At 38.1% G+C, this 27,721-nt stretch overlaps 1 protein-coding gene across 19 annotated transcripts in view, besides 1 other annotated feature; it reads right to left on the bottom strand.

The window, feature by feature from the left end:
* SUGCT (succinyl-CoA:glutarate-CoA transferase) overlaps positions 1-27,721 on the bottom strand; it is a 903,812-nt gene that overhangs the window by 654,046 nt on the left and 222,045 nt on the right. The window lies entirely within an intron of this gene.
* Positions 12,514-12,714: a silencer, noted in NCBI's record as "peak6500 fragment used in MPRA reporter construct". NCBI's record gives its function as "represses an SCP1 promoter by STARR-seq MPRAs in K562 erythroleukemia cells {active_cell/tissue: K562}" and the evidence as "EXISTENCE:reporter gene assay evidence [ECO:0000049][PMID:32103011]".

The following is a 27,721-nucleotide window of genomic DNA, read 5'->3' as shown; positions in this document are numbered from 1 at the left end:
GCATTCAAAACCAGCCTGGCCAACATGCTGAAACCCCGTCTCTACCAAAAATACAAAAAAAAAGCCAGGCGTGGTAGCAGGCACCTGTAATCCCAGCTGCTTGGGAGGCTAAGGCAGGAGAATTGCTTGAAGGCAGAGGTTGCAGTGAGCCAAGATCATGCTACTGCACTCCAGCCCAGGCAACAGAGCAAGATACTGTCTCAAAAAAAAAAAAATTACTGACTAAGGGAGCCAGGGTATGTGTTGGCACCTAGCAGTAAGACCACCTTGTCAACTACTGGATGATAACAAACCACAGGGAACCTGTGATCTAAGAAGACAAAACATAAAGATATTAAAAGCAACTAAAAGCCCACATATCCGTGAAGCCTTTCAAAACTCTTCACAGGAGAACTAATAGCTTCACTTTCTTACACGCTGGGCATGATTTGTCTCACACCAGGCTTTCATCATGTTTTGAGCATCATACTTACTCCCTGATGTACACATATTTATCTTTGTATCCCCAGCACCCCACAGAGCAGCTTCACATTCAACCTTTCTTTATCCTCCACCCAATGCACTTACCATTGAACAACTGCCAGTAGTTTGTTCTCCTTTTTATAAGAAAATTAAGGGCTACCCCTTATCTATAGTATTTACCCACAATCATGTGTCAATATATATTTCAAATCTATTTCCCACTATCTCTCCCTCTGCTGCGGGATAATTAAGGAATCAGAGAGACCGAGGGGTTGAGAAGGAATTAATTATTTAGTTACACCATCCCAGTTGGATTAACATCCAAAGGACTGAGCCTCGAACAAAGAGTCAAGCTACCTTTCAAGCATTTCGTGGGGCAGCGGGGGGAGATCTGTGCAGGGGGAAGCATATTACAGAAGGGAGAAACAAAGACAGTTATTTAATTAAGACATGCATTACAACTTCACACATTTTAGTGTCATCTAAGAGAACTACCTGCTGATGCCCTGACGAACTTCTTGCTTTGATCACGCAGTCCATTCTATACCAAATGCCTTTCATTTTCACGTTTAAGACCAGCTCAATTATCATTTCCTCCGGGAAGCCACCCCAAACTTAGTCCCAATGGACACAATCTCTTCCTTATCAGAATTCCTACATTTTATCTATATTTTTCTATTGACATCTATCATGTTACTCTCTAAATTCAGATTATGCTTTGTATTTCCCAATAGATGGGAAGTTCTCTGAAAGCAAATGCCACATATCATTTACCTCCTCATCTTTCACATCAAGTAGCACAGTCCTTTCTATATAGTAAGTACTTTGTAATTTAAGATGAAAAAATAAATAACTGAATAAAGAGTTAAGTCCGTTTTTGTTCTGATGTTCCTATGTCTTGAACCCGTCCTAATAGAAATGGGATGAATCATAAAACATAGTGCTACTTCAATTTTAATCACAGGCTAGCTATGAATCAGGCAAGTTACTTAAAATCGATGGATTCTAGTTTCTTCATCTGAAAAGGAACATGAATTAGAGCAAATCTCTCAGGCCATTACTAATACATAGATGTAGTGTGTAGCATAAAATATGTATATAATTTCAAACAGAGGAAACACAAGTCCCCATACCCCTTGCTCAGTAACTCTTAGTCTATCTTCAGAGCTCAACTCTTCATCACTTTCACAGAGAACTTTCCCAGAGGGCCATGACTACATCAAATCCCTCCACGTAATGCTTTTATAGCACCATAAATCTCCACTTTGCAGGGGGTGTCATACTTACAATTTCTATTTATTTCTGACAATTTAATTAATATCTATCCAAGCTTCTTCTTGTACATTCAATAAAAATAAATTAATGAATGTAATCTGTGTTAAATATGAAATCTTACAAAGCAGACACATCTTTATTAGTTCTCTATGTAATATTATCACGTTTCCACACTAAATACTTTCCAAAGATAATGGATATGAGTACGTCATCTCACAACTTCAAAGAGCTTACAAAGTTTTCAAAGTATCTAAATTGTCATTTCATTGTATATATTCAATGAATATTATCTCAAATAGACTTATTTATAAGTATGCAATACAAACTAAGTTTTCTCTTTTGTTTTAGGTCAGTTCCTTGCTATTTAACACAAATACATTTGCCTTAATAAGCTGTTCCATTTTATTCATCTCCAACTCCTTCCTAAACATAAGACATTCTAGTTAGCACTATAATTATGAGTTAAAGGTAAGAGCTTAGACCACAAAGCAAAATACTTCAATCTTCTTTCACGTCCTCCTTTCTGTGCCCTTGCAGAGTATTTCCTTTCAAAAAAAGGAGATATTGACTAAGACTAGTGACCCATTACCTCTTCCTATCCAATAAAGTGGAGTGGAAGTGCCAAATCCTGAGACTCATGTGCCCTCAAGGGACTACATAATATGAGCTAAGCTCACTTCAAATTTAAAATAGCTTTTCCCTTTTTTAGTCACATGTATAAATGTGTGAAAAGTAAACCTACAAGCAATAAAATTCTATTCCTGACAACATAATTGTCACAGTCACTAGATTATGCAAGATTTTGAAAAACCTATTCAGTCTATCAGAAAAGCCACATGCCCATAAAAACTCTTAAAAGAGGCTACACAGGGACATATGAAAATGAATGTACTAAAGAGCAATTACTATATTTTTAAATATTATAGGTGTTTTTTGAAAAATAAAAACAGCGCTGTTTAGTAAAAATCCATATACCACACTCAAGAAATTCCTAGAGTTACACACACACACACACACAGACACACACACGTCCCTTGATGGTAGGAATCACATTTACTCCAGATCTGTGTCATCAGCACTGGCATGGTGTACTGAATGAAGTGAAATTTATCAACTCCACCTGAAATAATTGTCCAGCAGAAAAAACATATATGAAATAAACCGAAAATGATTAACATAAAAAAATACTAATCACTTGCTCATGTATCCCAAACTAACACTTTTCCAAATGGCATATAGTTATTTGGTTTCATGGGGTTTGTAGATGTGTGTTTGTGATTTTTTTAATGCCTAGGATTCTGGTACAATGAGATAAGGAGGAGTTAGGAAATGATATGATATGAACTGCCAACATATTCCTTAGTAATGTAGTAAGTTTCATTACATCCACACTACCACAACATGATTGAATCTAGGTTGTCTCCTGAGACAAGGAAAAACTCTTTTCACTACAATTAGGAAGTTACTGAATTTTATAGTTTTTTCGGAACCACGAGTCAACAGATTTAGGGTTTTTTTTGTTGTTGTTACGAAAACAGAAACAGTAATGCTCTGAAGACTTTTAAGATTGGAGTTTTAAAGAACATAAAATTATAAAAGTTTCATAATAATACTTTATCCATGTGAACAAAAGAACAACGTACTGTGAGACATGGGCAAAGAAAATCTAAAAAATACCAATGTCTTATAATATTCCTGTAAAAGTGAGCTAAAAATACAATTTTCTTATTATTAAAAATTTATTATTGCTACTACTCTTATCACTACTGCTATTACTACTACTACTAATTTTTCTATTACTTATATATTATATAGCCAGCCATATTCAGGGGAATACTTATCTATACCATAACACTACTATGAGAATCAACTTGAGTCTTAAAGAATCAAATCACTACTGAGGAATCTAAAGAGATAAAACAAAATGGACCCTCTTATTCTTCTCAACACATTCTACTGCCCTCCACCTACTGAGAATAGATATTAAAAATATGACAAATGATGGTATTATTTCAGTATTACAAACTAGGTATGGTCACAGACAGAAACTAGCCTTACTAATTATAGCCAGAAAGAAAAAGCTACGCATTTCATTTTTTAAATCAAAGTTTTCATTTGATTTCACAGTGAATAATCCTGTATGATTTCAAAAAAAGACAGTAAACAGGAAATAGGTAATTATGCAAGCTCTAACCCCCAAAACCTAACAAAATAAATACAGAAAGGAAAATATACAGGCAGCAATCAAATTAAGAAAGTAAGCAAACTATACCACAAATTTTGACAAAATGCCATTCAGAGACAAGAGAGTAAATATTTCCGACATCAACTTTCAGTTCCTTTCATGACTATCAACACGCATTATAGAGACGGAAGAAACTGAATCCAGAAAATTCTGATAATTCTCAGTGAAATCCCCCAATTCGGATGGAAGTAGAATCTAGGGGATGCGATGCAACCCAAAAGAAAAGTCAAAGAAGTCTTCTTCAAAGCAGAATAAGCCATAAATACAGTAAACAGCAACTCGGAGGAGGCAAGCTGCACAGAGTTCAAAAGCCATATGCCGGAGTGACATCAGCACGAATGGCAGGGTAAAGACCTCCGAAAATCCTCTCCTCCACAAAACAATGACAAGATTGGCAAAAATAGTCAATAACAACTTTTTCAGAACTATGGAAATTGAGTAATGGCTTGTAGCAATCCAGGGAGCATGTGTTTAAAAAACAGTTGAATCATGGTAAAAACAGTTGAGTTTATGGCATTTTAACTTGCCCTATTCCCATCTCTGCATCCCCAGCTATGCACTAGCCTTGAAAAACAGTAAGTTGCAATCACAGTGAAAACCAGCAGACTACCAGCCACTAGAAGACACTGAACTGGGTTGGAACTCCTTGGAATCCCCATTAGCACAGAATTGTCATTATTTGACCTATGGAAAATACCTCATTTTCAAGGCTTTCCTTTATTTGACCTGCCTCAGGGTTCTCCCACTGTTAACAACCATCTCTTTGTGGGCATTTGCCAATTGTCTAACATCTCAGCTGCCTGAAACAGTGGATAATATTTGGGGTAAACAATAGACTAAGCAAAAAAACTTATCAAGGGAGATCTGAGGAATGAACATTCATAAGGAGCTTTGAGAAGCTACCACCATATTCCTGTTAACCTATGAGACCCATGAACACATGAAACGTTTGCATGCCCAGGGCTGTGCACAGCTCAGGAATAACTTGAGAAGGGCCTACAATTTCACTTCTTACTAACCTTGAGGCTCTGTGCAATAAAGAGGTAAAGACTAAGGCAGAAGAGTCAATGGACTGGCTGAGCATGGAAGGCAAGCCTCAGCACAGACAGAGCCCTTCAGCAAATACTTGAAGACAGGAAATCTCTGTCAAATTATTATCTGACTACCAAGCTAATTGAGAAGACACTCAGTGGTCACATACAACAAAGAATATAAACTTTACAGATTTAGTTCAGAAAACTGACCAGGAAAACAACAACAAATCCTAAAAAAAGAGCCAGCATATAATTTCCAGAATTGTCATTAATTTTATTTAAAATGTTTAATATTCAGCAACAACAAAAATACAAGGCATGTGGGAATATTAAAAACTTATAGGCCTCAAAAAAATAAGAAGTAGTCAATAGAAATTGTCCTTGAGGAGTGCCAGATGTTAGACTTACCAGACAAAGACTAGACTAGACTGCATTAGTTTTGTAAGGTTGCCATAACAAACTATCACAGACTAACTAGGTGGCTTACAACAATAGGAATTTATTCTCTGGTAGTTTTGGAGACCAGAAGTTTAAACTCAAGGTGTGGGCAGCACTGTGTATCCCTCTAAAAGCTATAGGACAGATTCAGTTCCTTGCTCTTTCTACCTTCTGGTAGCTGCCAGCATTCCTTGCTTTGAGGCTTCATTACTCCAATCTTTCTGCACAATGCCTTCTCCTTACCTCTGTGTCTCAAGACATCTTCTGCCTCTCTCTGATAAGGATGTATGTAATTACATTCAGGGCCCGCCAAGATAATCCAGGCTAACTTCCACCCCTCAAGATCCTTAACTTAATCACATCTTAACATATGTGATAATAGTCACACTTTTCTCATATAAGCCAGGCTCCAATGATAAGGACATGGACATATCTCAGGGGCCACCTTTCAGCTCAATACAAAAGCGTTTCAATCAGCTGTGTAAAATATGTTCGGAGAATTAAAGAAAAGCATGTCCTAAAGAACTAAAGAAAGTATGAGAAAGGCCAGGCATGGTGGTTCATGCCTGTAATCCCAGCACTTTGGGAGGCCAAGGCAGGCAGATCACCTGAGGTCAGGAGTTCCAGAACAGCCTGGCCAATGTTGCAAAACCCCATCTCTGCTAAAAATAGAAAAATTAGCCAGGCATGATGGCACATGCCTGTAGTCCCAGCTACTCAGGAGGCTGAGGTGGGAGGATCTCTTGAACCTGGGAGGCAGGGATTGCAGTGAGCTGGGACAGTGCCACTGCACTCCAGCCTAGGTGACAGAGCAAGACTCCATCTGAAAAGAAAAAAAGGTATGAGAAAGGTGCCTCACTGAACAGAGTATCTGGAGTTGAAAAGTACAATAACAGAAATGTTAAAATCACCAGGACTCAATAGCAGATTTGCAGTGGCAGAAGAATCAGTAACTTTGAAGGTAGGTCAACTGGGACTATCCAGTCTGAATAGTAGAAAGAAAAAAGGATGAAGAAAAACTGACAGATCCTCAGAGAGCTGTGGAACGTAATCAAGAATACTAACAGGTGCACAACAGGAGTCCCAAAAAAAAGAGGAGAAGAGAGAAGGAGGAGAAGAGGAGGACAGGGGATTGAGAAGTGGGGCCTAAAAGAATATTTAAGGTAACAGCCAAATGTACCATCTTTTTTGGAAAAAAAAAATATCCTACACATCAAAGAAGCTCAATTAACTCCAAGGTGGTTCCATACTACACAAACACCTAAACCAAACAATCAAAAGCCAAAGGCAAAGAGAGAATCCTGAAAGCAGCAGGAGAGAAGCAATTCATTACATACAACAGACCATCAATAAGGTTAACCAATGATTTCTGATTAGAAACCATGGAGGCCAGAAGACAGTAGAATGGCATATTATATCTAAAGTGCTGAAACAGAAAACACAAACAAAAACATATACCAAGAATTCTACATTGACAAAACTATTCTTCATATATAAAGGACAAATTAAAATTATAAAATAATTAATTGCAAGCAAACCTGCGCTACAAGTAACACTAAACAGAATCCCTAAAACTGAAATGAAAGGACACTATATAGTAACTAAAATCCACATAAATAAAGAATACTTGTAGGATAACTACATAGGTAAATATAAAAGACAACCAAAATGTATTTCCGTTTGTAACTCTTTTGTCCTCCAATCTCATTTTAAAAATAACTGCATACTTGCACACAGGGTGGGGAACATCACTTTCTAAAGAATAATGGCTGAAGTCCGGGCGTGGTAGCTCACGTCTGTAATTCCAGCACTTTGGGAGGCCGAGGCAGGTGGATCACCTGAGGTGAGAAGATCGAGACCAGCCTGGCCAGCATGGTGAAACCCCATCTATACTAAAAATACAAAAATTAGCTGGGTGTGGTGGCTCACGCCTGTCATCCCAGCTACCCAGGAGGCTGAGGCACAAGAATCGCTTGAATCCGGGAGGCGGAGGTTGCAGTGAGCAGAGATCATGCCACTGCACTCCAGCCTGGGCAATAGAGTGAGACTAGGTCTCAAAAAAGAAAGAAGGAAGGAAGGAAGGGAAGAAAGAAAGAAAAGAAAGAAAAGAAAAGAAAAGAAAGAAAGAAAGAAAGAAAGAAAGAAAGAAAGAAAGAAAGAAAGAAAGAAAGAAAGAAAGAAAGAAAGAGGAAGGCTGAAAATTTCCTTTCCAAGTTTGGTAAAAGACATAAACACAGATTGAAAAATGTGAGTGAACACCAAAGGATAATCACCTATATGGGAACTATAGCTCAAATGACTATGGATTTCCTACCAAAAACCATGAAGACCATTAGAAATTGGCACAAAATTTTTAACACGCTGGGGGAAAAAATATATAAACTGGAGTTCTACATGCAGTGAAAATACCCTTCAGAAATGCAAATAAAATAATGACATTTTCAGATGAATGAAAACTAAGAATTTGTAGCAGCAGACCTGTTCTAAAAGAATGGAAGTTTTCATACAGAAGGAAAATGGTAACAGAAGGAAACTTCAATAGAGTAGTATGCAACTGTTAAAAAAAAAAAGAGTGATTATATCTTTATATGTTGACACGAGAAGACATTCAAGATATATTAGATAGGCCAGGCACAGTAGCTCACGCCTGTAATCCCAGCACTTTGGGAGGCCGAGGCAGGTGGATCACCTGAGGTCAAGAGTTTGAAACCAGTCTGGCCAACATGGTGAAACCCCATCTCTACTAAAAATAGAAAAATTAGCCGGGCATGGTGGTGCACACCTGTAGTCCCAGCTACTCAGGAGGCTGAGGCAGGAGAATCGCTTAAACCCGGAAGGCAGAGGTTGCAGTGAGTGGAGATCACGTGCCACTGCATTCCAGCCTGGGTGACAGAGCAAGACTCCAGCTCAAAAAAAAAAGAAAAAAAAAAGATACATTAGATAAAAATTGCAAATAGAAAAACTATATTAATGTTGTGATCACAACGGTTGAAATAATAAGTAGGCAACTAATTATCTACAGAAAGATAAATACATTAATGCTATATACATAGATACATACATAAAATTTGCAAAAAGACATGTAAGAATGTATTCATAGTGATTAGTGAAAGGAATTGAAAAAGGACATATTTTACCTTCCCTTCATAGCTTTTTCTGTCATTTAAACTTTTACATCCAAAATATACTAATCCTATAACTTTTTAAAAGAATTAATCAATGTTCTAATTTAGCATTATGAAATTTTCATGAGATATCTATACATATAAGGTCCCCTGTTGCTATTACGTATGAATTTCTGTTATAACACACATTAGAAAAGCATATGCTACATCCTCCATCTGACACGAGAATCTGTGGTACACTTTCTCATGAATACCCATGGTATTTTTCTTCTCAGCTATATTCTAACCATTCCTCCATTCATTCACAAACACAGAGCATCCATTCTGGCATGGTACTAGACTCTGAATTCAAACTCCCTGCCCTATGAAATGCACATTCCCTGAGGGTACTATGGGGCACAGTATTATGAGGGTACGTTACTGTAAACATAATTTATATGTCTATTTATATGTCTATAATTTATTTAAGACAATTATAAATTGAGAAATACTGTGGTGAAAATTAGTACAGGACTAAAGAACAGAATAAAGGTAGAAGGAACTTCTTTTTAGATAGGGTTGTCTGGGACAATCTCTCAAATGAGGGATAGTTGTGCTAATAGGTAAAGAGTCTAAAGGATAAGAAAGAATCAGTTCCACTGACAGTTGGGGAAGAACATTCCATGAAGGAAATAAAGCATGTGCCAAGGCCATGAGATGGGGAGTAGGAGAGAAACTCCTAATTTCAAATCTTGATATGATAATTTTTTTATAACCTTATTTCTCCTCCAAATCATCCAAAGACTCAAAGGTCCACTGGACTCAGACAAGTCTTCCCACTCAAAGTTTCCAATCAAAGGGACTTGCCTTAATTAGATGGCTCACAAAATAATCTTCTACATACACAAAGAAACTTGATTGCATCTTTCTAAACTTGCCTCACCCTTAAAATTGTGTTACTGATAAAACACCATTCTCCCACTGACCCTCAAAAGTGTACTACTAACATCAGCCAGTATTCACAGCAACACTCAGGACATTTCCTCACTTACCCGCAACTGCACCGTGATTCCTTCTCCCAGCTCAGAACACGTAGCTTTGTGACGCTGTCTGTACTAATGGTTTCCCACAGAATTGGACCTATATCATTTATGGTCAAAGTTTCAGGACCTCCCTTCTGAAGACTGAGCCCACACGTGACAATCTTTATTCCTACTCACTTGTATGTCGGCCACCCAACTAACATAGAGTTTGTGGAAGAGGGAGTGGAGTTGGGGGACAAAGAGGGCCAGATAGCATCCATAATCTGGTCCCTAACAACTTTCCACCAGAGTCCCCTTCATGAAAACCTAGGCTCAAGCCAGATAAAATTGCTCTCTGCACTCACGCCCACATATGTCTCACCATGTTCTTGTTTGTGTGATTCAATCAGCCCAGGATTACATGTTCATACAACATCAGAATACAAGAAGGTGATATAAGTGACTCAGCTGAGAAAAGCAGAGTGGTAGACACTGAGAAATCAAGAAAAACCTTTTTAGACCTAAGGCAGTCAAATTCACACCCTTTGGAAAATGCAGAGCTAGTTATACCTAACTCATATTCAGGATGAATTCAGTCCATGAACCGTTCAATTTGAGACAACCCTAGTTCCATATATGTCTAGATTTTACCTTTCCTCTGTCTTGCAAGAACAATTCCTCCCAGAAAATTTGTGCTGATACCCTTTATTTGGATTAATATCTTGACTGTGTCCCCACTTGATGGAAAGGGAAAACATGGAAAGTGGAGCTTGAACGCTCAGGTTAAATCCACTTATTTACTTGTGACTTAAGGGAATTAATATTTCTGAACCTTAGCTTCCTCATCTGTAAAATGAGGATGACACCACCTACCACCTCACAGGGTCATTTTGAAGATCAAAACAGAAAGCACGTGCAAAAAGCAACATACAAATATTAACTCAAACTGTAATTGTGGATTTTTTTCATCTTCATTCCAGAAATAGCTATTGCTCAAGGCTACATTAATATTCCTCCTTTTTCAACCCTATATATGCATGTGCCCAGCAAAGTTCCTGAAACATGTTGTTAATATTTTGCCTCATGGGTTCATACAGTTAGTATTGTGCATCTCTAAGTAAGGTGCCATGTAACTCAGTAGATTCACTGAAAACTTCAAGTCTTGTTTCACAGCCAAACAAAACAACAACAACAAAAATTAACCAGAATATTTTTCCACTTAACCAGACATGATAGGGGTTCTAGTAATTGACGCCAAAGTAAATTGGGGACAAAAGAAAATTAATATAGGCATTATGTACCTCTTTATGATAATGAATTCAACTTGCACTTTTTTACTATAAAGCATTTGAAACATTCTTACAGATTTCTATCACTCCTGTTATTGACTCATTTTTATTAAAACAGTTATCTTGTCAAAACTCCTGAAAGTACAGTCCAAAATAAATTTGGCACAAACATAATTAGTCAATCATACATAAGTCACCTGTTTATCTTGTTGTTTCTTACCAAAATAAACTTGCATGTGACTTCCAGTAATATCAAGGACAATCAAAAATATGCATTTGGGAACAGAATGAAGTCCACAGACACTTAGCATTGTCCTAATTTGATTTTGAGGACTTCTTTGAACTATATTCCTTCTTCAGGAGTATATACTCTCAGATTGAAAATACTCACATGTCAAATGAGTACCCTCAAATTATGAGGGCACTATTAATTTGGAATTCATTTTTCTAAATCTTAAAATGCTGTTCAAAAATAAAATTTATAAAGTTTTAGGATACTTTTCATTGATCTAAATTCTATATATTAATCATAGATTCTAAATTTTCTAGAATCTATAGATTCTAAATTTTCTAGAATCTATAGATTCTAAATTTTCTAGAATCTATAGATTCTGAATTCTATATATTAATTATTATAGCTAAGTGGAAAACCCAGAGAATTAAATAGGCATTATTTCTAGAATCACTTAACTTCTTCAAAGTAAAAGGAGAAGAGAAATTTAACTTTCTAACTTGAACTTTAAATCACATATTCTAGGAATTTGTAGTACGATAGTGTTACTTCTTCTGACTTCACTAGCAACAATTTTCACCTATGAATTCCCCAAAATTGTTTAGTAATAATTACTACTATGATACACAATTAAGCCATATGATATAATTTTTACATACAGCACAAATCTTAATTCTTAGAGTTGGCTCTTGCAACCTAATAATCCTCTGTCTGTATATATTTGTCTTACAATTTCCTTTTCATGACAAATCAATATGGATTTGAATTATAAATTATTGGAGGACAAAATGCGTGGTTACTTGCATTGAATCTTTTCCGTTATTTGAGCAAGAATGCACCTGCTCCTCAGTCATATTTGTTTTAGATAAAAATTACCTTTGCTTGTTAGAAAGCATTATCCTGGAATATTCCATTCTGTTAGAGAACATTCTCTGTGATCTTTATGTTCCTCTTTTCAAAGTTTCTACAAATGTATGATTTACTTGCCTGCATAATTTTAGACATTTTTCCACTGACATAAAAGATTAATCCTATTAATAATTAACACAACATTGGGATGGTGTTTTTCAGTTGAAAAATAAATCTATAGCCTACAGGAGTATCTATTTCCCAGTAAAATCAAAGGCAAAACTACAGAAGATATTTCTCTGCCAACTTTATGTAAATAACATAAACAGCTCAAAAGAAAAAAGTGTTTAGGAGTATCCACAGCACAATTTTTAAAAATCAAATTAAGGTATTTGATGTGGAAATAGAAAAATAAAAGAGAGCAAACCATTCAGTACATTTTTACAATTAGTTTCATTCGTCGATTGCAAAGTGCTTTGCTAACATTAATTAATTAAAGATGTAGGGTCTAAGATCTGCAGTACATTTTGTAATGGCCTCAATCAGTCTTCAAAATTCCAGATGACTAATAAAGACACAGACACCTGACAGATGAAGTCACAGAGGTCATCTCCATGTGAATCTTTCAGCTCTTCAACTCTTATTCCATTACTGGACTTGGAAGAATACAGGAAGAGCGTCAAAAAAATATAATCCAAAAACAAACCTAAAAAAAAAACCTCAAACCAGTAAAACCATGTCAAAAACACACAGACAACCCTGGCTCTCATTTGCAGTATGTGTTTCATAATCCTGATTTTGTTTAAAAAACACACTGTCCTCCTCAACCTAGACTATTTTTATACAGATGTGTGTGTGTGTGTGTGTGTGTGTGTTCGAGATGTATATACATACATCCAAAGCAATAATTATACTTTTTGTTTACTTAAAAGGATTAGAAAGAAATTCCAGTGAACATGATTTTTAAATTAGATGGAAGAAAATCAGAAGATTCTCTTCTTCCTATATCAGGAAATGAAGTGAAAGTTTTTCTGTAATCTTTTCGAAGATCAGAACAATATTGATGTTAATTCTAATTGAACAGTGACAATTAAGACAATAAGGAAACAATACCAAAAGTCTTTAATGACTGAAAATATCTTCTAAAAATGCTAAATTTAATGAATCTCTTGTGCAAAGCTAAAATTTCTTTGTAATATTTTTAAACAATGTATAATATTTTTGAAAGCTCCCAAATCTTGCTCAGTTAGCAGCAGTAGAAAAACCACGATGTAATGAATTTGTTTTCTCTGTTATTTAAAAATGCTTTTAGGAACCTGAAGTGCACAAAAAAGCATGTGTTGCCTTAACCGGACTCCACAGCTGCATTCCTGATAGTTAGTAGCCAATTTTCTATTACACAGTCAATCTTTTCAACTCTTCCCTCACCTGACACCACCAATTACCATGGGTTCACCAGCTATAGGAGAAATAAAAATGACAAATCAAACAAACAAACAAAACACAAATGCAAAGCTTTTTTATTATTATTTTAGTTTCTGGCTCATCCTGTGCACTATTTAACTTTTGTAGTCACTGAAAGCAACCAATCTGGGTACTTATACAGCAAAAAACTCTTTTCAAGTAACTAAGAAAAAAGAGAGAAAGTGAGGGAAAATTGGGTAAGAAACAGATGAGAACTGGTCAAAATGGACTCTTCCCTTCTGGCATTTTTTTCTTAATGTTCATATGAGTAAAAACATTTAGCATGAAAGAAACACTCATGGTCTTTGGAAGTGGGACTATCTAGCTCTGGGCCATTAGTTACATGAGTCTGGCCAGGTCGTGTAATATCTCTGAGCATTAGTTCCTCCAACTATATATCCTGTACAACAGTACTGAGAGTTAACTAAGATGAAGGGCTTGAGACACCATAGGTATTCAATAAATGAACACTAAGCCTATTGTTATTAGTTTAAAGCAAATAGCACTTATATTTTCCCACAAATGCAAATAGCAGTTACAGCACTTTATAAAAATACTTTTTTCTTACTAAGAAGTAATATGTAAAAATTATAGAAATATTTAGAAAGCCCTGAAAAGCAAAAAAAAAGAAAAAGGAAATCCTCCCAAATCTTAAAACCAAGAGATACCACATTTAACATTTAAATGTCTCTCTGTCTCCATCTCTCTCTCTGTCCCCCACTCTCTCTCTCCCCCATCTCTCTCTCTCCTCTCTCTCTCTCCCCCATCTCTCTCTCTCTTCTCTCTCTCTCTCCTTTGCCCTCCAAATCCATCCTAAGCATCATGAAAAGAATCTCTGCAAGTGAGGATCTCTAGGTATGTTTTTTCCTTCCATAGCCTCAATTACATACAAAGCAACCAACTTCATATGGGGGGATCAGCAATTACACCTTTTGAGGGAAATCACTCCTGATCATCCAGGTTCGGCAGAGTTAAGAGAATACATGTGTAGAGAGGAGCAGCTACAGTGCAGGGCCCTACAGATCTCCCCTGAAGACTCATTCTCCCTCAAAACTGATCCTTCCCTGGCTCTTGCAAAACTTATTTTTGTTGTCTTCCTTCTTTTTTGCCTATCTTTTCTAGGCGTTCTTTACTAATTAAGCTGAGAGGAAAGGGACGCAGATGTGATGAGACAACTTTAGTAGAAAGTTATGCTTCGGTCATGGATTGCCAGTGAGAACTGACCCTGGCAGTAGATCAAAATACACATTCCCACTAGTGGGTAAACTTGGATATTTACATACTGCCCTAAACCAAGGATCCAACATACCCAGAGTGTCTCATTTTTCTCTAATACAAAGTAGCTGCAATATCATGTATTGCATGAACCATGAGTCCTCGAACTGGAAATCTCTTCAGTATCATACCACCATTCCCCACGAGCACTAGGGCCTGACCATAAACCTCACTAATCTTGCCAGAGCCCTGAAATGCTGCTAGATGCTAGCAGTTTCTTTCCTCCTTTCCATGACCTATCAAAGCACTCACACAATCAGCAGGAGCCTAGGATTTATTGCAACTGAATAAACTTTGCTTGGACTCCTAATCCACAGGCCCACTTTATTCTCTGTGGCTTCCATCCAGTAATTCTACTGCCATTTCCCACCCATGTCAACTGGAATCTCTGACATTAATCCTAATCCAGATTGGATTCAACCTTTACATGCCTCTTAAATGGTATAATTGGGACTGATGTCTGCACCCTCCCCCTTCTTAGGGGCCAGAGCTGGAGCAGAATCATTGTTTTACTCAACTTCCTTCCTTCTTGCAACAGCCCATTATAATATTCCATAAGGGGCCAGACACAAATGTATATGTTTTAAGCGTTATACATCAAGCTCCTGCAATCATGGGTGTGGGAAGTCAGAAGCAGAATAGAATATTTGATCTGTGAAAAGGAAAAAATGATAGAAAAAAATGGTAGACATAACTAGGAGTCAGTTTCTTCAAGAAAAACTCAATTTAGAAGTCATCTTCTTCCCACAAAAGCCAGAGAAATCTCTAATAATAGTCTACTTCATTGCCATCTTCCACTCCACTTCCAAAGCAGAGGGAAGACAATTACAACAAGAATTTTGCTAAATGTGTTGAAGTATTAGTTCCCAAATGCCTCTCTGCCATCTAGTGCTAATCTCACTGCATGTGAATCACCTGGAAAACTAATTAAAAAAACACTCAATCCCCACTCAAAAGTTATAATTTTTTTTTTTTTTTAAGATAGAGTCTCGCTCTGTTACCCAGGCTGGAGTACAATGGCGTGATCTCAGCTCACTGCAACCTCCTCCTCCTGCGTTCAAGCTATTCTTCTGCCTCAGCCTCCCAAGTAGCTGGGATTACAGGCACCCGCCACCATGCCTAGCTAATTTTTGTATTTTTAGTAGAGATGCAGTTTTGCCATGTTGGCCAGGCTGGTCTCGAACTCCTGACCTCAGGTGATTCGCCCTCCTCAGCCTCCCAAAGTACTGGAATTACAGGTGTCAGCCACCACACCCAGCCAAAAGTTGTAGTTGAATGAGCCTAAAGCCCAGGAACTTGCATGTTCAAAAGGCCTCCATATTACTCTAAAAATCAGCCAAATTTGAAAATCAGTACATTATAGGAAAATGGACTTCCTTTCATTTCATGAGGTTTCATGCCTAGTTCAGAGTAGTGGTAAATTAGAGTCAAAACTAGTTTCAGACCTAGGTATACGTTCAATGAAGATGCTTTGTACTTGAAGTCTGAGCTTGAGGCAACTGCAGACAAAAGATTCCAAGTCTATGCAGTGATCATATCAGCTTCTGTGTAAGTAAGAACTTTCAGATATTAATAATGAACAATAGTCCGGGTGTGGTGGCTCACACCTGTAATCCCAGCACTTTGGGAGGGCAAGGAGGAGGGATCACAAGGTCAAAAGTTCGAGACCAGTCTGGCCACCACAGTGAAACCACATCTCTACTAAAAATACAAAAAATTAGCTGGGTGTGGTGGTATGCACCTGTAATCCTAGCTACTCAGGACGTTGAAGCAGGAGAATCACGTGAACCTGGGAGGCAGAGGTTGCAGTGAGCCGAGATCAGCCATTGTACTCCAGCCCAGGCGACAGTGCAACACTCCATCTCAAAAATAAATAAATAAATAATCACAAAATAAAAAAGTATAGACTAAAATGTTATAATGTGAGATCTGACTTACGAGGGAAAAGCAGGAAGTAAGAGGTCAAGGAAGACTTTCGGAGATGACAATAGAGACAAAATCTGGAGGATAAGTAGGCTTTTCCTAGTGAAGGGGTGCTGGAAGTGCTCTAGGGAGATGGAAACATGGCAGGAGCAAAGGCTTAGAGGCTAGAAGAGGAGTGACTCATCTAGGAAATGAAAGCAGGTGGTTTGCCTGGAGTGCCATGAAGGAGGAGGAGAATGGTGGGAGGCATGGATGGAGAGGCTGTGAGGACAGATGGCAAGGGCCAGGAAGGCCAGGTTAAGGGCTGGGTCTTCATCCTTGAATCAGTTGGGTGACATGACGCTTGGGAGGCAAAAGTGGAAGCAGAGAGACAAGAATGAGAGTCTGCAATATTCTAAGGGAGAGATAACAGACCACGGTCGGGCAGCAGAGGTGGAAAGAAGAGGAAATAAGAAGAGAGATTTGATAGATGAGGACAGATGTGTTTGCCTTAGTTAAATATTGCATTAATTTCTATTATATTTCTTTTTGCTCTTACCTACTATTTCTGGCAAGTGGTGCTGGTTTTCCTTTTACGGAAGTAAAATAACATTTCTTTTCTCAGAAAAAAAAATTAAGTGTTTTTTGAGGGGCACAGGTGTTGTTTAGTAAGTTCATATACTTTTAGCGAATATCGCAGTGCCAGCCATTTTATTTTATTTTTTTTTTCTGGGTAATTTATTTATTTATTTATTTTATTATTATTATACTTTAAGTTTTAGGGTATAGGTGCAAAATGTGCAGGTTAGTTACATATGTATACATGTGCCATGCTGGTGTCCTGCACCCATTAACTCGTCATTTAGCATTAGGTATATCTCCTAATGCTATTCCTCCCCCCCTCCCCCCACCCCACAACAGTCCCCGGAGTGTGATGTTACCCTTCCTGTGTCCATGTGTTCTCATTGTTCAATTCCCACCTATGAGTGAGAACATACGATGTTTGGTTTTTTGTCCTTGCGATAGTTTACTGAGAATGATGATTTCCAATTTCATCCATGTCCCTACAAAGGACATGAACTCATCATTTTTTATGGCTGCATAGTATTCCATGGTGTATATGTGCCACATTTTCTTAAACCAGTCTATCATTGTTGGACATTTGGGTTGGTTCCAACTCTTTGCTACTGTGAATAGTGCCGCAATAAACATACGTGTGCATGTGTCTTCATAGCAGCATGATTTATAGTCCTTCGGGTATATACCCAGTAATGGGATGGCTGGGTCAAATGGTATTTCTAGTTCGAGATCCCTGAGGAATCGCCACACTGACTTCCACAATGGTTGAACTAGTTTACAGTCCCACCAACAGTGTAAAAGTGTTCCTATTTCTCCACATCCTCTCCAGCACCTGTTGTTTCCTGACTTTTTAATGACTGCCATTCTAACTGGTGGGAGATGGTATCTCATTGTGGTTTTGATTTGCATTTCTCTGATGGCCAGTGATGATGAGCATTTTTTCATGTGTCTTTTGGCTGCATAAATGTCTTCTTTTGAGAAGTGTCTGTTCATATCCTTCGCCCACTTTTTGATGGGATTGTTTGTTTTTTTCTTGTAAATTTGTTTGATTTTATTGTAGATTCTGGATATTAGCCCTTTGTCAGATGAGTAGGTTGAGAAAATTTTCTCCCATTTTGTAGGTTGCCTGTTCACTCTGATGGTAGTTTCTTTTGCTGTGCAGAAGCTCTTTAGTTTAATTAGATCCCATTTGTCAATTTTGGCTTTTGTTGCCATTGCTTTTGGTGTTTTAGACATGTAGTCCTCGCCCATGCCTATGTCCTGAATGGTAATGCCTAGGTTTTCTTCTAGGGTTTTTATGGTTTTAGGTCTAATGTTTAAGTCTTTAATCCATCTTGAATTAATTTTTGTATAAGGTGTAAGGAAGGGATCCAGTTTCAGCTTTCTACATATGGCTAGCCAGTTTTCCCAGCACCATTTATTAAATAGGGAATCCTTTCCCCATTTCTTGTTTTTGTCAGGTTTGTCAAAGATCGGATAGTTGTAGATATGTGGCGTTATTTCTGAGGGCTCTGTTCTGTTCCACTGATCTATATCTCTGTTTTGGTACCAGTACCATGCTGTTTTGGTAACTGTAGCCTCGTAGTAAAGTTTGAAGTCAGGTAGCGTGATGCCTCCAGCTTTGTTCTTTTGGCTTAGGATTGACTTGGCGATGTGAGCTCTTTTTTGGTTCCATATGAATTTTAAAGTAGTTTTTTCCAATTCTGTGAAGAAAGTCGTTGGTAGCTTGATGGGGATGGCATTGAATCTATAAATTACATTGGGCAGTATGGCCATTTTCAGGATATTGATTCTGCCTACTCATGAGCATGGAATGTTCTTCCATTTGTTTGTGTCCTCTTTTATTTCATTGAGCAGTGGTTTGTAGTTCTCCTTGAAGAGGTCCTTCACATCCCTTGTAAGTTGGATTCCTAGGTATTTTATTCTCTTTGAAGCAATTGTGAATGGGAGTTCACTCATGATTTGGCTCTCTGTTTGTCTGTTATTGGTGTATAAGAATGCTTGTGATTTTTGTACATTGATTTTGTATCCTGAGACTTTGCTGAAGTTGCTTATCAGCTTAAGGAGATTTTAGGCTGAGACAAAGGGGTTTTCTAGATATACAATCATGTCATCTGCAAACAGGGACAATTTGACTTCCTCTTTTCCTAATTGAATACCCTTTATTTCCTTCTCCTGCCTGATTGCCCTGGCCAGAACTTCCAACACTATGTTGAATAGGAGTGGTGAGAGAGGGCATCCCTGTCTTGTGCCAGTTTTCAAAGGGAATGCTTCCAGTTTTTGCCCATTCAGTACGATATTGGCTGTGGGTTTGTCATAGATAGCTCTTATTATTTTGAGATACATCCCATCAATACCTAATTTATTGAGAGTTTTTAGCATGAAGAGTTGTTAAATTTTGTCAAAGGCCTTTTCTGCATCTATTGAGATAATCATGTGGTTTTTGTCTTTGGTTCTGTTTATATGCCGGATTACATTTATTAATTTGCATATACTGAACCAGCCTTGCATCCCAGGGATGAAGCCCACTTGATCATGGTGGATAAGCTTTGTGATGTGCTGCTGGATTCGGTTTGCCAGTATTTTATTGAGCATTTTTGCATCAATGTTCATCAAGGATATTGGTCTAAAATTCTCTTTTTTGGTTGTGTCTCTGCCCGGCTTTGGTATCAGGATGATGCTGGCCTCATAAAATGAATTAGGGAGGATTCCCTCTTTTTCTATTGATTGGAATAGTTTCAGAAGGAATGGTACCAGTTCCTCCTTGTACCTCTGGTAGAATTCGGCTGTGAATCCATCTGGTCCTGGACTCTTTTTGGTTGGTAAGCTATTGATTATTGCCACAATTTCAGAGCCTGTTATTGGTCTATTTTAAAGGTCGGGTTACCCACAAAGGGAAGCCCATCAGACTAACAGCGGATCTACTGGCAGAAACTCTACAAGCCAGAAGAGAGTGGGAGCCAATATTCAACATTCTTAAAGAAAAGAATTTTCAACCCAGAATTTCATATCCACCCAAACTAAGCTTCATAAGAGAAGGAGAAATAAAATACTTTACAGACAAGCAAATGCTGAGAGATTTTGTCACCACCAGGCCTGCCCTACAAGAGCTCCTGAAGGAAGCACTAAACATGGAAAGGAACAACCGGTACCAGCCACTGCAAAATCATGCCAAAATGTAAAGACCATTGAGACTAGGAAGAAACTGCATCAACTAACGAGCAAAATAACCAGCTAACATCATAATGACAGGATCAAATTCACACATAACAATATTAACTTTAAATGTAAATGGACTAAATGCTCCAATTAAAAGACACAGACTGGCAAATTGGATAAAGAGTCAAGACCCATCAGTGTGTTGTATTCAGAAAACCCATCTCACGTGCAGAGACACACATAGGCTCAAAATAAAAGGATGTAGGAAGATCTACCAAGCAAATGGAAAACAAAAAAAGGCAGGGGTTTCAATCCTAGTCTCGGATAAAACAGACTTTAAACCAACAAAGATCAAAAGAGACAAAGAAGGCCATTACATAATGGTAAAGGGATCAATTCAACAAGAAGAGCTAACTATCCTAAATATATATGCACCCAATACAGGAGCACCCAGATTCATAAAGCAAGTCCTGAGTGACCTACAAAGAGATTTAAGACTCCCACACAATAATAACGGGAGACTTTAACACCCCATTGTCAACATTAGACAGATCAACGAGACAGAAAGTTAACAAGGATACCCAGGAATTGAACTCAGCTCTGCACCAAGCGGACCTAATAGACATCTACAGAACTCTCCACCCCAAATCAACAGAATATACACTTTTTTCAGCACCACACCACACCTATTCCAAAATTGACCACATAGTTGGAAGTAAAGCTCTCCTCAGCAAATGTAAAAGAACAGAAATTATAACAAACTGTCTCTCAGACCACAGTGCAATCAAACTAGAACTCAGGATTAAGAAACTCACTCAAAATCGCTCAACTACATGGAAACTGAACAACCTGCTCCTGAATGACTGCTGGGTACATAATTAAATGAAGGCAGAAATAAAGATGTTCTTTGAAACCAGCGAGAACAAAGACACAACATACCAGAATCTTTGGGACACATTCAAAGCAGTGTGTAGAGGGAAATTTATAGTACTAAATGCCCACAAGAGAAAGCAGGAAAGATCCAAAATTGACACCGTAACATCACAATTAAAAGAACTAGAAAACCAAGAGCAAACACATTCAAAAGCTAGCAGAAGGCAAGAAATAACTAAAATCAGAGCACAACTGAAGGAAATAGAGACACAAAAAACCCTTCAAAAAATTAATGAATCCAGGAGCTGGTTTTTTGAAAGGATCAACAAAATTGATAGACCGCTAGCAAGACTAATAAAGAAAAAAAGAGAGAAGAATCAAATAGATGCAATAAAAAATGATAAAGGGGATATCACCACCGATCCCACAGAAATACAAACTACCATCAGAGAATACTACAAACACCTCTATGCAAATAAACTAGAAAATCTAGAAGAAATGGATAAATTCCTCGACACATACACCCTCCCAAGTCTAAACCAGGAAGAAGTTGAATCTCTGAATAGACCAATAACAGCCATTTTAAAAATGGGTTGTTATTTGGGGTTTTGGTATTGAGGGATTTTTTTGTTTGCATTTTTCCTTCTGATTTTTAAAATTAGATCTATTTCATATACTATAAGACAAAATTGCACTTTAGAAATAGAATGGCTAAAAGCCACATTCTAATCACACCATATAGATCAAGACTACATTTTTTTCCAAAATTAGATCATAGAGATAGCTGTACAAACTTGTGAATATACAAAAAAACCACTGAGTTGTACATTTCAAAGGACTGATTTTATAATATATAAATTATATCATTATATCTCAATTTTTAAAATTATATTGTTTCCAAACTTATGCTTCCACTTTCAACTTTCCTTCTCTGTTGGATATAATCATTATTAATACTTACAGCTATATAGTACTGTCAAAGAGAAAAATAACTATGTATACCTATATCTTTACCCAAGCTTCCTTCTCTAGCATGCAGACTCACACCAGAAGCTTTAATCACAGCAGGTTGATGGTGCTGGAGACACTGAAGGATTACATTGATTGGTTGGTTGGCTGAACTACCTTTTTTTTTGAGGGGGGAGCGGCGGGGATGGACTCTCGCTCTGTCACCCAGGCTGGAGTGCAGTGACGCCATCTTGGCTCACTGCAACTTCTGCCTCCTGGGTTCAAGTGATTCTCCTACCTCAGCCTCCTGAGTAGCTAGGACTAGAGGCATGCGCCACCACACCCAGCTAATTTTTGTATTTTTAGTAGAGACAGGGATTTGCCATGTTGGTCAGGCTGGTCTCGAACTCCTGACCTCAGGTCATCTGCCCACCTCGGCCTCCCAAAGTGCTGGGATTACAGGCGATAGCCACTGCGCCGGGCATGGTTGAACTTCTTAATCATCTGAATCAAGAAGGTGATGCAGCCACACCTGATGTTCTAAAGAGTTTTCTTTCCTTGAACTCCTTGGCAGCCTACGTGTATTACAGTCCTCTCTGGATTGACATTTAAATATTGTGATCCCCTCACATTCTTTCCTGTAATTTCTTCTCACTCTAAGCCAGTGCTTCTCAAATTTTGGCCCAGGCCAGCTTAAAGCAATTAAATCAGAATCTCTGGCGATGGGTCTCAGGCATCAGGATATTTCTTAAGATCCCCATGTGATTCCAATGTGCCCTCAGAAAAAAAAACCATGACTGCTCTTTGATCCCTCCCTGAGATCTCACTCAATCACTTCAATTGCTATCTTTATGCCAGTGACTCCCAAGTCTGTATCTCCAGTTACCACTGCCTTTATCATTCAAAAATCGAAATACCAAAACACTACAGTAAGCCACAAAATAAAATGTTGCTTGCTTTTTAAATTAAAACAAAACTGAAAATTTTGTTGAAATTTAAATCACTTCTTCCTAGAGTGTTTGAATTTTCTTTCTTTTTTTTCTTTTTGAGATGGAGTCTCGCTGTGTCGCCCAGGCTGGAGTGCAGTGGCACAATCTCAGTTCACTGCAAGCTCCGCCTCCTGCATTCACACCATTCTCCTGCCTCAGCCTCCCGAGTAGCTGGGACTACAGGTGCCCGTCACCACGCCTGGCTAATTTTTTGTATTTTTAGTAGAGACAGGAGTTCACCATGTTAGCCAGGATGGTCTCGATCTCCTGACCTCATGATCCACCCACCTCAGCCTCCCAAAGTGCTAGGATTACCAGCGTGAGCCACCGCGCCTGACCAAATTTTCTCTCTTTTTGAGGGCTGAGCTGCCTGTGCTTTGTTGGTATCCTAAAGAGCAGATTAGACTGCTGACTGGGAAACTGAACTCATACAGAAGGATCTCCATTTGAAGCACCCATAGCACTAGAAAAATCAGTCTATAGGTAAAGTCATTACTCCCTCATTTCTCCAGACACAACCTACTCCTCCTCTCATCTTTCCTAATAACATCCTCCCAGTGGCTGAAGTAAAACACCTAAGAATCATCATCTACTCCTTCAACATTCACACTAATAATTATTGATTAAGCAATATCAATTATAACTCCTTAATAGATCTTGAACCTGTTTGCTGTCTCTTCATCCCCATAGCCACCATTTCCTTGCACCTAGAGTACTGTAACAGCCCCTTAACTGGTCTCCTGGCCCACAATCTTTGCTTGTTCCACACTATTGTCAAAATTTTATTAATATTTCTAAACACAAATGTCTTTGAGTACCTAAAACATTTCAGAGGCTCTCTCCTGCCCTTAGGATAGTGTTTGAATTTCATAACATGGTTTACAAAGCCCTTAGAAACCTCTCCAGTTATATTCACTGCTCCCTCTCATGCTAGTCCAATCCCTTCATCTCTGCCTCACCTGCCTTCAACAGAGATTTTACTTCTTCTAAGAAATCTCAAGTCTCCCACAACGGGGTTAGGAGTGCCTTCCACGCATGGCCATATCACAGTGCACTTACTCTGTTACTGCATCCATCACCACCTTCACTTTCTCTCTAGGTGCAAGTGAACTGCTTAGGGGCAGAGGCAATTGCTTGTTCTTCACTGTAGACCCAGCGCTTGGCACACTGTTGGTGCTCAGCATTTGTTGAAATCATGAATTAATAAATCAATGAATGAATTGTATTCCTTCTTCACAAATCTCAATGAAATTTGCATTAACCCTCTTCAAACAAAGGTAGAATAGAAGAAAAACAGTATTTTTAAAAAAAAATCTTAGGCTGGGTGCAGTGGCTCATGCCTGTTATCCCAACACTTTGGGAGGCCAAGGCGGGCGGGTCACTTGAAATCAGGAGTTCTAGACCAGCCTGGGCAACATGGCAAAACCCTGCCTCTACTAAAAATACAAAAATTAGCCAGGTGTGGTGGCGGGTGCCTGTAATCCCAGCTACTTGGGAGGCTGAGGCAGGAGAATCACTTGAACCTGGCAGGCGGAGGTTGCAGTGAGCCGAGATCGTGCCACTGCACTCCAGCCTGGGCGACAGAGTGAGACTCTGTCTCAAAAATAAAATCTTGCACACACATGCACAGCAGACTCATGGGCTATGCAGTGGGTAATAAAAGGCTGCAGGTCATTTCTCTAACATTTGTAAGTAGTTACCAATAAAATTGTCCATAATGAGCTTGTATTATGCAGAGACAACAGTCATCTAGTCATTTTAAATTTTAAAATATTAAAGTATAAAATCTGTCATTTTAATGTAAATAATAGCTACCATTTCCACTCTCCAACACTGTGCTAAGCAGTTGACACATGTTGTCTCATTTAATCTCCACAATCTAGCTCTAAAGTAGATCATATTACAACTTCTCAGGGGAAGAAATGAAGGTTCAGAAGGGTAAACACCTTACCTACAACAACACAGTTAGGACGTGAGAAAGGCAGTTTGACAATCGTTCTCTTTATACCCTTCCTTTGGGTGGGTGTTTCTCTACTCTTATATCATGGGGGTAAACAAGAGTTACCATGAAACTTGTACTGATATTGCCACGTCAGGTCCAGTCTTACTGTACTAAATGACAGAACAGGCCAGGCACAGTGGCTCACGCCTGTAATCCCAGCATTTTGGGAGGCCAAGATGGGCAGATTACCTGAGGTCAGGAGTTTGAGACCAGCCTGACCAACATGATGAAATCCTGTCGGTACTAAAAATATAAAAATCAGCCAGGTGTGGTGGCACATGTCTGTAATCCCAGCTACTCGGGAGGCTTAGACAGGAGAATGGCTTGAACCCAGGAGGCAGAGGTTGCAGTGAGCTGAGATAGCACTATTGCACTCCAGCCTAGGCAACAAGAGCAAAACTCTGTCTCAAAAATATACATACAACTCTGTCTCAAAAATATACATACATACATACATACATACATGTACATACATACATACATGACAGAACATAAAGCTAATGCTGCTGGAATAAGAAATGCCTCTGAGTTGATAAAACAGTCCATATCCAGGGAACAGCCCCATGCCAAAAGTGATGACTAAAAACTTGCCAAATTCTTTATTTGCATGCAATCTAAGTGAGTTTGTAAACATAGTGTAAAATGTATCTTTGGCTAACAATCATATTTCCCACAGTTACCTATGCCTGAGAGATATAACACATGCCTGGAAGTATACATAACTTGGGGGATGTTGTATAAATAGTCTAGCCTATTAAATAGTTAAAATATCCTAACATGGAGCTCATCCTCCTGGAAAATGCAATTGGCTACTAGCTTCTTTGGTTTTAAGTTCTTTCTTTGTCGAAAATTCTGTCATTTTCTATGAATAGTAGTGTTGTTGTTGTTGTTGTTGTTATTGTTGTTGTTGTTTTTGAGATGGAGTTTTGCTCTTGTTGCCCAGGCTGGAGTGCAGTGGCACAATTTCGGCTCACTACAACCTGTGCCTCACGGGTTCAAGCGATTCTCCTGCTTCAACCTTCCGAGTAGCTGGGATTACAGGCATGCACCACCACACCTGGCTAATTTTTTGTATTTTTAGTAGAGACAGGGTTTCACCATGTTGGCCAGGCTAGGCTCGAACTCCTGACCTCAGGTGATCCACTCATCTCGGCCTCCCAAAGTGTTGGCATTACAGGCATGAGCCACTGCGCCCGGCCCTCTGAATAACTTTTTAAAGCAATTTAGTTATAAAGAGCCTCATAGAAATAGCCTATAGAGAGTTGTGTTTGTCTACTATACTCCTCTCACATCTTAGTTACGCAAAATAATATGCTCTCCAGCTATTATTACTTAATAACCTGGCCATAATGATTCCCAGCTACTAAACACTTCATGCTTTTCAGGTATAACCTCTCCCTATTTTTGAATTCTCTCAGATTAAACAATTTATTTTTAACCCATCATCTTTAAGCTCCCACATATTGTGTAGGATAGACAGCATATCATTCATTCATTTCATTCATGGAACAGATCTTTTAGGTTTATTATGTGCCAGAAGTTTTCTATAATTGCCTTATTCAAAACTACTTATTGGGCATCTATGTGCTAAGGATTTAATGGGAAACAAAATAGCCAAGTCTCCTATTCTTATGTGCCAAGTCTTAAAGCAGGACCTATTTTTTGGTGTCTTTGACATTCTACTCATCATAGATCAATGATTCTCAACAGTAGGGGTCAGCAAACAACGCCATACTGGCCAAATTCAGCCTGCTGTCCATTTTTGGATGACCCACAAGCTAAGAATGTTCTTTACATGTTTAAATGGTTAAAAAAATCATTTTTAAATGGTTAAAAAAATCAAAAGAAGATTAAAAAAAAGAAAAAAGATTTTAAAAAGACAAAAAAGAAAAGAAAAAAGAAAAAAGATAAATTTTTAAAAATCAAAAGAAAAATATCTCATGATACATGAAAATTACATGCAATTGAAATGTCAGTGTTCATAACTGAAGTTTTATTGAAACACAGCCACATTCCTCTGTTTACATCTATGGCTACTTTTGCCCTACATCAGCAGAAGTGAGTAGTTGTGACCGAGACCACATGTCGCATTCTCATGCTTATTGCTTTGCACATCTTTTTGATGCACCACAAATCACAGCGACACAATCATAACTCAACAAAATCGACAGTGTCACGCATGTGGTAGGGTCACATTTTTTTAATCTTCCCAATGCATACCAATCATGTCAAAAGAAGAAAAGAGAAGACAAATGGACTTCATCATGCTAGATGTTGGCATACATTGGAAGATGAATTTTTTTAATTAAATTAGGTGACAAAGCATTTTGGTTATTATGTAATGACATTATAGCTGTGCTAAAGGGAGACAATAACTGCCAAATTGGGTACTGATCAAAATATTCCCAACTCATAGGAAAGCAATAGTCAGAAAAATTATAAAATTTAAAACACACTATCTTAAAACAGCAGAATTTCATCACAAAAATTAAAAAATAAAAATAAGACTGCAACCAAAGTAAGTTTCTGAGTGGTTCGTTTTTGAGCCAAGCAAAGAAAACCATTTACCAGTGATGAGTC

The sequence above is a fragment of the Homo sapiens genome, chromosome 7, assembly GCF_000001405.40.
Source record: "Homo sapiens chromosome 7, GRCh38.p14 Primary Assembly".
Lineage (NCBI taxonomy): Eukaryota > Metazoa > Chordata > Mammalia > Primates > Hominidae > Homo > Homo sapiens.
The sequence above is the reverse complement of the archived record's forward strand: the minus strand, read 5'-3'. Positions and strand labels throughout refer to the sequence as shown.